Genomic DNA, 13,094 nt, shown 5'->3' on the forward strand with positions numbered 1-13,094 from the left:
GCTTGTTCAGCTTAATTCTAAGCAGAATTAAGTTCCCTGTGGTTGTAGGACTCAGGTCCCTGTTTCCTTGCTGCCTATAAGCCAGGACCCTCTCTCAGCTCCTGAAGGCCACCTGCATTTCTTATCACATTGCCCCCCCCATCCTCAACAGCAATGTCACATTGCTGAGAACATTATACTTTAAATCTCTTTAACTTTCCTTTCTGCTGCATCTCTCTGGCTCCAGCTAGAGAAAATTCTCTTAAGAGCTCCTGTGATTAGGCTGGGTTCACCTGGATCACCCAGGATAACCTCCCAATTTTAAGATACATAACCATCATTCCATTTGCAAAGTCCCTTTTGCCATATAACATAACATATTCCAGGGATTAGGATATGGACAGCTTTGGGAAGCCATTTTGCCTTCCACAGCTTTCATAGACCTCCTCACAAGAGCTATTTCCAGACTCTTCAAATCCTTACTACAACCCTATGAGACAGGTACTATTAATTAGTAGCCCTATTTTATAAGTGAAGAAACTAAATCCCAGAGGGCAAGGTATATTTTCAAAGCCTTGTGGCTGATATTTTTGGCACTGGGATTTGAATTCAGTCTGTCTCCAAAGGTACTATGCTTCATCTGTGAAAAAATGTTAGCATAAAATATTGTTGACTGGTGGAATGTCTGTCCACTGACATGAATAATTTGGTGGGTTAAATTTCATCAGAATGCTTAGGGATCCCCAAAAAGCTATGACAGATAAGTACATATATATATATCTTATTGAATCATTTCTGTGTCCAAAATTTACATGCCTATTTTTTTCAATTTTCAAGCAAACCAATTAATACAATTTAAAATGTTATTGCGAAGTAAATGCCAATGCCTTATCACTCATGTAACTGACATTTCAATCTGTAAGTAAAATTTCATATCAGCACTCCTTGAATTACAATACATGTTGGGGACCTTCTCTCCTGACTTCTCAACTAATGTAGGAATCTCCTATGCAGTATTTTGGCTTCCCAATATCCTCCAGCTTGAGTTTTCTCTTACTACTAGAATAATAACAGAGTCACAGAATTTACTATTTTGCAAGGTAACTATTTTTAACTGGTGAATAGCTTCAATACTTGTGGGTTCCTTCATTAAACAAAAATTTTGCTTCTGCCATTTTCTACCACTGAAATGTATTATAAAGCTGAGCATGTATTTTCCCATTAGAAAAGTAAGTTGGACAAATATATCCAAATGTTTTGCTAAATACCAATGAGAGCCTTCATGAATTCCACCCAGAGTTAAGTTCAATGAGGTAGGGATGTTGTCTTGTATACCTGACACCTAGGACCAGACATATGGCAAATGCTAAATAAATATTTATTGAATGAATGAAGCCATGAATGAACTTAGATTTTCCATATATACAAAGGGCATGTAATCCCAGCACTTTAGGAGGCCGAGGCGGGCGGATCATGAGGTCAGGAGTTTGAGACCTGCCTGGCCAACATGGTGAAACCCCGTCTCTACTAAAAATACAAAAATTAGCTGGGTGTGGTCGTGGGCACCTGTAATCCCAGCTGCTCGAGAGGCTGAGGCAGGAGAATTGCTTGAACCCGGGAGCTGGAAGTTGCAGTGAGCCTAGATTGCACCACTGCACTCCAGCCTGGGTTACAGAGCAAGACTCTGTCTCGAAAAAATAAATAAATGAAATAAATAAATAAAAATTAAAAAAAGGGCAGTCATATTCAAAGTTCTGTTTAAGAAATGGCCAAATCCATTTTAATTGGACATAGATTGGATGGATTATATGGTATCGTAAATCATCATAGTATTCTTTATTTGAAAGTGAGAAAAGAAAATGCATATTTTCTGTTTTTCACAAGAGCAAATTACTATTGAATAAATTGTCAATGAAATAAAATTACAGCAGAGGGGAAGATTCATTAATGCCATTTCCCATCTTTGTGGAAATAAGTGCTCTCCATGGCTGATGGAACATTACAAAGAGTATCATGCACATTTAATTTCTTCATATTTTTTGTATATAAATAATTGTCTATTTAATATGATTACTTCTTCTGAAATACCCACATTTAAGAGAAGAATATTAAAACTTTACATTTATAAATTTTAAGGTAAAAATCTCAAAAACAAACTTTAGTGTTAAGATTCTGCAGTGACTTTAGCACAAACTTTTGAAATCCTAGGGTACTAGATTAGTACAAAAGGAAAAACTTGCACAATTGTGCTAAATAAGAATTTCTTGAGTGGCAGCCAAGGTGGCCGAATAGGAACAGCTCCGGTCTACAGCTCCCAGCCTGAGTGATGCAAAAGACAGGTGATTTCTGCATTTCCGTCTGAGCTTTGAAGAGAGCAGTGCTTCTCCCAGCATGCAGCTGGAGATCTGAGAACGGGCAGACTGCCTCCTCAAGTGGGTCCCTGACCCCTGATCCCTGAGCAGCCTAACTGGGAGGCACCCCCCAGTAGGGGCAGACTGACACCTCACACGGCCGGGTACTCCTCTGAGACAAAACTTCCAGAGGAACAATCAGACAGCAGCATTCGCGGTTCATGAAAATCTGCTGTTCTGCAGCCACAGCTGCTGATACCCAGGCACACAGGGTCTGGAGTGGACCTCTAGCAAACTCCAACAGACCTGCAGCTGAGGGTCCTGTGTGTTAGAAGGAAAACTAACAAACAGAAAGGACATCCACACCAAAAACCCATCTGTACATCACCATCATCAAAGTAGATAAAACCACAAAGATGGGGAAAAAACAGAGCAGAAAAACTGGAAACTCTAAAAAGCAGAGTGCCTCTCCTCCTCCAAAGGAACACAGTTCCTCACCAGCAACGAAACAAAGCTGGACGGAGAATGACTTTGACGAGTTGAGAGAAGAAGGCTTCAGACGATCAAACTACTCCGAGCTACAGGAGGAAATTCAAACCAAAGGCAAAGAAGTTAAAAACTTTGAAAAAAATTTAGATGAATGTATAACTAGAATAACCAATACAGAGAAGTGCTTAAAGGAGCTGATGGAGCTGAAAGCCAAGGCTCGAGAACTACGTGAAGAATGCAGAAGCCTCAGCAGCTGATGCGATCAACTGGAAGAAAGGGTATCAGTGATGGAAGATGAAATGAATGAAATGAAGCAAGAAGGGAAGTTTAGAGAAAAAAGAATAAAAAGAAACAAACAAAGCCTCCAAGAAATATGGGACTATGTGAAAAGATCAAATCTACGTCTGATTGGTGTACCTGAAAGTGACTGGGAGAATGGAACCAAGTTGGAAAACACTCTGCAGGATATTATCCAGGAGAACTTCCCCCATCTAGCAAGGCAGGCCAACATTCAGATTCAGGAAATACAGAGAACGCCACAAAGATACTCCTCGAGAAGAGCAACTCCAAGACACATAACTGTCAGATTCACCAAAGTTGAAATGAAGGAAAAAATGTTAAGGGCAGCCAGAGAGAAATGTCAGGTTACCCACAAAGGGAAGCCCATCAGACTAACAGTGGATCTCTCAGCAGAAACTCTACAAGCCGGAAGAGAGTGGGGGCCAATATTCAACATTCTTAAAGAAAAGAATTTTCAACCCAGAATTTCATATCCAGCCAAGCTAAGCTTCATAACTGAAGGAGAAAGAAAATCCTTTACAGACAAGCAAATGCTGAGAGATTTTGTCACCACCAGGCCTGCCCTAAAACAGCTCCTGAAGGAAGTACTAAACATGGAAAGGAACAACCGGTACCAGCCACTGCAAAATCATACCAAATTGTAAAGACCATCAAGGCTAGGAAGAAACTGCATCAACTAACGAGCAAAATAACCAGCTAACATCATAATGACAGGATCAAATTCACACACAACAATATTAACTTTAAATGTAAATGGACTAAATGCTCCAATTAAAAGACACAGACTGGCAAATTGGATAAAGAGTCAAGACCCATCAGTGTGCTGTATTCAGGAAACCCATCTCACGTGCAGAGACACACATAGGCTCAAAATAAAAGGATGGAGGAAGATCTACCAAGCAAATGGAAAACAAAAAAAGGCAGGGGTTGCAATCCTATTCTCTGATAAAACAGACTTTAAACCAACAAAGATCAAAAGAGACAAAGAAGGCCATTACATAATGGTAAAGGGATCAATTCAACAAGAAGAGCTAACTATCCTAAATATATATGCACCCAATACAGGAGCACCCAGATTCATAAAGCAAGTCCTGAGTGACCTACAAAGAGACTTAGACTCCCACACAATAATAATGGGAGACTTTAACACCCCACTGTCAACATTAGACAGATCAACGAGACAGAAAGTTAACAAGGATACCCAGGAATTGAACTCAGCTCTGCACCAAGTGGACCTAATAGACATCTAAAGAACTCTCCACCCCAAATCAACAGAATATACATTTTTTTCAGCACCACACCACACCTATTCCAAAATTGACCACATACTTGGAAGTAAAGCTGTCCTCAGCAAATGTAAAAGATCAGAAATTATAACAAACTATCTCTCAGACCACAGTGCAATCCAACTAGAACTCAGGATTCAGAAACTCACTCAAAACCACTCAACTACATGGAAACTGAACAACCTGCTCCTGAATGACTACTGGATACATAAGGAAATGAAGGCAGAAATAAAGATGTTCTTTGAAACCAATGAGAACAAAGACACAACAGACCAGAATCTCTGGGACACATTCAAAGCAGTGTGTAGAGGGAAATTTATAGCACTATATGCCCACAAGAGAAAGCAGGAAAGATCCAAAATTGACACCCTAACATCACAATTAAAAGAACTAGAAAAGCAAGAGCAAACACATTCAAAAGCTAGCAGAAGGCAAGAAATACCTAAAATCAGCTCTTCCGGTTCTAGGCACTTCGGGAGCCGCGGCTTATGGTGCAGACATGGCCAAGTCCAAGAACCACACCACACACAACCAGTCCCGAAAATGGCACAGAAATGGTATCAAGAAACCCCGATCACAAAGATACGAATCTCTTAAGGGGGTGGACCCCAAGTTCCTGAGGAACATGCGCTTTGCCAAGAAGCACAACAAAAAGGGCCTAAAGAAGATGCAGGCCAACAATGCCAAGGCCATGAGTGCACGTGCCGAGGCTATCAAGGCCCTCGTAAAGCCCAAGGAGGTTAAGCCCAAGATCCCAAAGGGAGTCAGCTGCAAGCTCGATCGACATGCCTACGTTGCCCACCCCAAGCTTGGGAAGCGTGCTCTTGCCCGTATTGCCAAGGGGCTCAGGCTGTGCCGGCCAAAGGCCAAGGCCAAGGCCAAGGATCAAACCAAGGCCCAGGCTGCAGCTCCAGCTTCAGTTCCAGCTCAGGCTCCCAAAGGTACCCAGGCCCCTACAAAGGCTTCAGAGTAGATATCTCTGCCAACATGAGGACAGAAGGACTGGTGCGACCCCCCACCCCCACCCCTGGGCTATCATCTGCATGGGGCTGGGGTCCTCCTGTGCTATTTGTACAAATAAACCTGAGGCAGGAAAAAAAAAAAAAAGAAATACCTAAAATCAGAGCAGAACTGAAGGAAATAGAGACCCAAAAAAACCCTTCAGAAAATTAATGAATCCAGGAGCTGGTTTTTTGAAAGGATCAACAAAATTGATAGACCACTAGCAAGACTAATAAAGAAGAAAAGAGAGAAGAATCAAATAGACACAATAAAAAATGATAAAGGGGATATCACCACCGATCCCACAGAAATACAAACTACCATCAGAGAATACTACAAACACCTCTACGCAAATAAACTAGAAAATCTAGAAGAAATGGATAAATTCCTCGACACATATACCCTCCCAAGACTAAACCAGGAAGAAGTTGAATCTCTGAATAGACCAATAACAGGCTCTGAAATTGTGGCAATAATCAATAGCTTACCAACCAAAAAGAGTCCAGGACCAGATGGATTCACAGCCGAATTCTACCAGAGGTACAAGGAGGAACTGGTACCATTCCTTCTGAAACTATTCCAATCAATAGAAAAAGAGGGAATCCTCCCTAACTCATTTTACGAGGCCAGCATCATCCTGATACCAAAGCCTGGCAGAGATACAACCAAAAAAGAGAATTTTAGACCAATATCCTTGATGAACATTGATGCAAAAATCCTCAATAAAATACTGGCAAACGGAATCCAGCAGCACATCAAAAAGCTTATCTACCATGATCAAGGGGGCTTCATCCCTGTGATGCAAGGCTGGTTCAATATATGCAAATCAATAAATGTAATCCAGCATATAAACAGAACCAAAGACAAAACCACATGATTATCTCAATAGATGCAGAAAAGGCCTTTGACAAAATTCAACAACGCTTCATGCTAAAAGCTCTCAATAAATTAGGCATTGATGGGACATATCTCAAAATAATAAGAGCTATCTATGACAAACCCACGGCCAATATCATACTGAATGGGCAAAAACTGGAAGCATTCCCTTTGAAAACTGGCACAAGACAGGGATTCCCTCTCTCACCACTCCTATTCAACATAGTGTTGGAAGTTCTGTCCAGGGCAATTAGGTAGGAGAAGGAAATAAAGGGTATTCGATTAGGAAAAGAGGAAGTCAAATTGTCCCTGTTTGCAGATGACATGATAGTATATCTAGAAAACCCCATTGTCTCAGCTCAAAATCTCCTTAAGCTGATAAGCAACTTCAGCTAAGTCTCAGGATACAAAATCAATGTACAAAAATCACAAGCATTCTTATACACCAGTAACAGACAAACAGAGAGCCAAATCATGAGTGAACTCCCATTCACAATTGCTTCAAAGAGAATAAAATACCTAGGAATCCAACTTACAGGGGACATGAATGACCTCTTCAAGGAGAACTACAAACCACTGCTCAATGAAATAAAAGAGGATACAAACAAATGGAAGAACATTCCATGCTCATCGGTAGGAAGAATCAATATTGTGAAAATGGCCATACTGCCCAAGGTAATTTATAGATTCAATGCCATCCCCATCAAGCTACCAATGACTTTCTTCACAGAATTGGAAAAAACTATTTTAAAGTTCATATGGAACCAAAAAAGAGCCTGCATCGCCAAGTCAATCCTAAGCCAAAAGAACAAAGCTGGAGGCATCACACTACCTGACTTCAAACTATACTTCAAGGCTACAGTAACCAAAACAGCATGGTACTTGTTTCAAAATAGAGATATAGATCAATGGAACAGAGCAGAGCCCTCAGAAATAACGCCACATATCTACAACTATCTGATCTTTGACAAACCTGACAAAAACAAGCAATGGGGAAAGGATTCCCCATTTAATAAATGGTGCTGGGAAAACTGGCTAGCCATATGTAGAAAGCTGAAACTGGATCCCTTCCTTACACCTTATACAAAAAGTAATTCAAGATGGATTAAAGACTTAAACGTCAGATCTAAAACCATAAAAATCCTAGAAGAAAACCCAGGCATTACCATTCAGGACATAGGCATGGGCAAGGACTTCATGTCTAAAACACCAAAAGCAATGGCAACAAAAGCCAAAATTGACAAATGGGATCTAATTAAACTAAAGAGCTTCTGCACAGCAAAAGAAACTACCATCAGAGTGAACAGGCAACCTACAAAATGGAAGAAAATTTTCACATCCTACTTATCTGACAAAGGGCTAATATCCAGAATGTACAATGAACTCAAACAAATTTACAAGAAAAAAACAAACAACCCCATCAAAAAGTGGGCGAAGGATATGAACAGACGCTTCTCAAAAGAAGACATTTATGCAGCCAAAAAACATATGAAAAAATGCTCACTATCACTGGCCATCAGAGAAATGCAAATCAAAACCACAATGAGATACCATCTCACACCAGTTAGAATGGCAATCATTAAAAAGTCAGGAAACAACAGGTGCTGGAGAGGATGTGGAGAAATAGGAACACTTTTACACTGTTGGTGGGACTGTAAACTAGTTCAACCATTGTGGAAGTCAGTGTGGCGATTCCTCAGGGATCTAGAACTAGAAATACCATTTGACCCAGCCATCCCATTACTGGGTATATACCCAAAGGACTATAAATCATGCTGCTATAAAGACACATGCACACGTATGTTTATTGCGGCACTATTCACAATAGCAAAGACTTGGAACCAACCCAAATGTCCAACATTGATAGACTGGATTAAGAAAATGTGGCACATATACACCATGGAATACTATGCAGCCATAAAAAATGAAGAGTTTGTGTCCTTTGTAGGGACATGGATGAAATTGGAAATCATCATTCTCAGCATACTATCGCAAGGACAAAAAACCAAACACCGCATGTTCTCACTCATAGGTGGGAACTGAACAATGAGAACACATGGACACAGGAAGGGGAACGTCAAACTCTGGGGATTGTTGTGGGGTAGGGGGAGGGGGAGGGATAGCATTAGGAGATATACCTAATGTTAAATGACGAGTTAATGGGTGCAGCACACCAGCATGGCACATGTATACATATGTAACTAACCTGCACATTGTGCACATGTACCCTAAAACTTAAAGTATAATAATAATAATAAAATTTAAAAAAAGAAGATAAAAAAAGAATTTCTTTCTTTCTAGTTTAAATAATAATTTTTTCAAGGTCATATCGACCCTTTCTCAGGTGACTGTTTGCTATCAGAGATAATTTTCAGACATATGCAAAAACTTAACCTTTTTAATGATATGAGAATTTCTAACCTGTCTGGAAGAAAAGGCATAAGAGATCAGTAAAAGTGGAATTATTAAAAAGAAACCCAACATTATTTTTGAGAATTAAAAAAATTGACAATCATTCATAGAACTCCAACCATGCTATTATCAGATCAGTTTTATATTATTTCAGTTATATGTGCATTCTCAAGGGTTACTTCACCTCTTTACACCTCCCTGTGGCTATGAAGTCAGTCTTATGCAGTATTGTTATCTCTGCACACAATATCTAGATTGTGCTCAGTAAATCAAATAGCATATACATATATTGCACTACTTATTTAGGAGGAAACAGAATAATGAATGAACTGACAATAAGTGTGTCTTAAATTACATCCAGAAAGGTTTAGTTATAAAATATCATTGAAATCTCAGGATAAAATAGTTCAGGATATGTGGGCTCTCAAGGCTCCAGCATGTCAGAATTTCTTTTGCTGTGGCATGGCTGAGTCCTCATGTGTACAGGCTTAGGACTGTCTGAAGAGGTTAAGATAACTCTTCCAGCAAATCCAAAATAATGAAAGAGGATTGTTTATGAGATTCTATAAACATAGTTAACTCTGTAGTTACCAGGATAACATCATGGAATGCATAAGTCTAGGTGCAGCAGGTTCTGGTTGGTTCTGGTCCTGGTTCCCATGGCAACCTGCCGGCTGTGGTCTTCGGATGGGTCACATCAATGATGCATGGTGAGCTAGGTAGGTTGTCCTTATTGAGGTCTGGGCACTAATGTGCCCTTTGAGGGGCATTTCTGGATATAAGCTAAGAGTGTGCTGTTCAGATGTTGAGGGAGAATAATGGAAAGAGAAAGTTTAAATTATAATTCAGTTTTCTCATCGGTAAATGGAGATCATCCCAGTTCCTGTTACAAACATGAGGTTGTTCTGAAGATAACATGACTTAATATATGTGAAGGTTTAAAGTTACATTTCATACCTAATTTTATATTAATGATTTTACATTTTTTTTTAAAAGAGAGCACTCAAAATTATATAAAGCTTCAGATCTCACAGAACATGGATCTGCCCTTCCTGGCAGAGAGAAATGAGGAAAGCAAAATCAAAAAGAAAGCAGAGTTACTGCTCACATGAGGGAGATGAGGTAAGAGGAGAGATTCAGAACTGGTTCAGTCTCAGTATCCTTATTCATGAAGTAGGGATAGTGATATCTTGGCTATCCTTATTTTGTGATATAGTGATATCTCAACAGGGATATTGTAAGACTCAAATGCAAAATGCAAGTGAAAGTAACTTACCAATGTAAGTCACTAAGATATTGTTATTATTTATCAGTCTTTGTATGGAGGTCCTGTATTTTGCAAATTCAGTAATTAATCTGGATAAATATGCACCAGGCCACCTTCAATTTGTTAAATTTTTACTAAGCTTATATTTCTTCTTGGAAGTTGATGATTGCACAGGATGATTTAGGTGTCTGAGAGTGCTCTTTTGAAGTTTTCATTTTTATTCATTTCAAATCCTGAAATTGAGTAATCTCTAAATGTTCTTATGGAGAAATATCCACAAAAACGTTTGGGGTTACATTTAATATCCAGAATGTCTGTTTTATCACTGAGAGTTTTAGTGATGACTGAAAGTGCTAAGTTAAATTGTGTATATTTTGCTTATTGTCTGAAACTTAAATCCTATGTAAACAATGTACTAACCATTGTTTTGGAAAACAAAGTTCTAATCCTACTAGATTCTGTCCTACCATCACCTAAAATTCAGAAAAACTCAGTTTAAAATTTATTCAACAATCTTGTTTTCAATTTTTTTATTTTTTATTTTTTAAAAACAGGGTCTCATGCTGTAGCCCAGGCTGGAATGCAGCAGCCTGATCATAGCTCACTGCAGCCTCAAACTTCTGGGTTCAAGTGATCCTCCCACTTGAGCCTCCTGAGTAGCTGAGACTACAGGTCCATGCCACCAAGCCTGGCTCATTTTTTAATTTCCTTGTAGAGATGAAGTCTTGATATTTTTCCTGGGCTGGCCTCAAGTGATCCTCCCGCCTTGGCCTCTCAAAGTGCTGAGGAATACAGGCAAGCCAATATCGTACCTGGCCTCAACAAATACTTATTGAGTGTCTGTTAGGTGCTAGAGATAGATCTAGTTGCTGGTCATACAAAATCAAATAAGGGAATATACAGTCTCAGGCAGAGAAACAGACAAACACATAAAAACACATGCCTACAACATGGTGGATGTCATGACAGAGGTATTTAGTCACAGGCATGCTAGGATATGAAAAGGAAAAGGTTATCTCAGTTAGACTCGTCATTCTGAGAAGAGTTTCCAGAGGAGGTCTTACAGAAAGACAATGTGATGTATAGCTAGAAGAAAGCAAGAAGAGGAGAAAAGGTATGGAGGAGTGGAACTGCCTGATGTGTTCAGAGGTCCCCTGGTAGTATGGTCCCTATGCGTGTGTGCCTGCTCACATGCATACAGGTTGTGGAGAAGAGAGAAAACTGGCCAAGTCACAAGGAAGCCTTCAGTGTGACACTTAGGAGCTTGACCATTACTCTAGAAATTGTGGGGGCCATTGAACAGCATTGTCCCTGTTTCTTTCAATGAAACCACTGTTCTCCCAGTCATGTAGACTTGAAACCATAGTGTCTTCTTTATTTATTTTTTCTCTGATGTTACCCAAACTGTTTAATAACTACCCTTTTAATTCATCCTTTAGGGTGACTCTAGACATTCCCTATTCTTCCTAGTCTTATGATTTTGCCCAATTTTAGTCTCATCTTCTCCATGCTGAAACCACAGCTGTGTTTCCCTGAATGTTCTCCTTCCCTCCTTCTCTCCTGTCCTCCACCCTGTTCTCCCCCTCCTTGAGAAGTTAACCTACTTAAACCACTTTAGCATCAGAAACTTTTAGCAGCTTTCTGTTACTCACAGTATTTCCCCCCAATACAATAAATAAGTATGCATTTGGATTGGAATGCTTCCTTTGGCTATCCAAGTCCATGATCTAGCACTAACCAATTACCTGACCCACCGTCTGATACAGCCAAACTGGTTTCTGCTGATCCTCCAGCTCCTCTATGAATCCTCCTCTGTGCCTCCTTCCCATAGGATCACTTCTTCCTCTGAATTTCACTTACTGCTTCTACAACTTACATCCCAGCCTACCTTGGCACATAGATGCTGCCTAGAATTGTTAATTATTTTTGTTAATTATATAAGTTTATAACTTAGAATTATATTTGATTTTATAATTTTACAATTATAATTACAATTGATTTATTCAAATAAATTTTGAGCTCCCTGAGGGAAAAATCTATGAGATAATATGTCAAGTACTTAGCATAATCCATGATGCATAGTAGATTAAGTTAGAATTATTGCTATTATCATTTTTTGGTTTGTTTTTAGGATATTGCTTCTTTGCATTCATAAAGTATCTAGTAAAATAGATCCTCAAAAAGACATGCCTTCCTAATTGAGTGGCATAATCATCATTACTACAAATGTCTGAAAAAATGTCGAGAGTAATGATAAGAAGGCTTTCTCCTGCAGTGTTAAACTTTAAAAAGTATCTGATTTGGCCAGGTGTGGTGGCACATACCTGTAATCCCAGCACGTTGGGAAGCCAAGGGGAGAGGATTGTTTGAGACCAGGTGTTCAAGATCAGCCTGGACAACATGATGAGACCCCATCTCTACAAAAAATTTTTAAAAATTATCTGGGCATGGTGATGCATACCTGTAGTCCTAGCTATTTGGGAGGCTGAGGCAGGAAGATCACTTGAGCCTAGGGGTTGGAAGCTATAGTAAACTGTGACCACGCTACTGCACTCCAGTCTGGGTGATAGAGCAAGACTCTGTCTCTAAAAATAACTAAATTAAAAATAAATAAATAAAGTGTGTGATTCCAGGCATGCTTTTAGATCTTTCTATTCTTAAAGTATATCCTCTTATCATTAAAAAATTGACATTTAATGCAAAAATTTCCAAGTATGTAAAGTACACACAATAAAAAGTAAATGTCCTTCCATACACACCCCCCTGAATTCACTCCCAGAAGTAGCTCATGAGATGAGTAGTTCTTTAACCACTTGTTAACATGTATGTGAATATGTTACATGCATGTTACACACATGCTACATGTGTGTAAATGTTAATAACTTTAGACTACAAATTATAAAGAAATATGTTCACCATTTTCTTAATTTTTCAGAAAACATGTTATATATTAATAAATGTATTTATTCAGTGTTTATTAATTTGACAACACATGTTGTTTTTTTTTTTTACCACTGTCTTAATTCATTTTCTGTTGCTTATAACAATACTTGAAATTGGGTAGTTTGTAAAGAAAAGGAATTTATCTCTTGTAATTATGGAGGCTGAGCAGTCAAATGCCAAGACACTGCA

At 39.1% G+C, this 13,094-nt stretch overlaps 1 protein-coding gene and 1 pseudogene across 2 annotated transcripts in view; both read left to right on the forward strand.

Annotated features, from left to right (window-relative positions):
- The window catches only part of SLC35F1 (solute carrier family 35 member F1), a 410,408-nt gene that overhangs the window by 86,807 nt on the left and 310,507 nt on the right, over positions 1–13,094 (forward strand). The window lies entirely within an intron of this gene.
- Positions 4,858–5,499, forward strand: RPL29P4 (ribosomal protein L29 pseudogene 4; annotated as a pseudogene).

This window comes from Homo sapiens, chromosome 6 (genome assembly GCF_000001405.40).
Source record: "Homo sapiens chromosome 6, GRCh38.p14 Primary Assembly".
NCBI classification, from domain to species: Eukaryota; Metazoa; Chordata; class Mammalia; order Primates; family Hominidae; genus Homo; species Homo sapiens.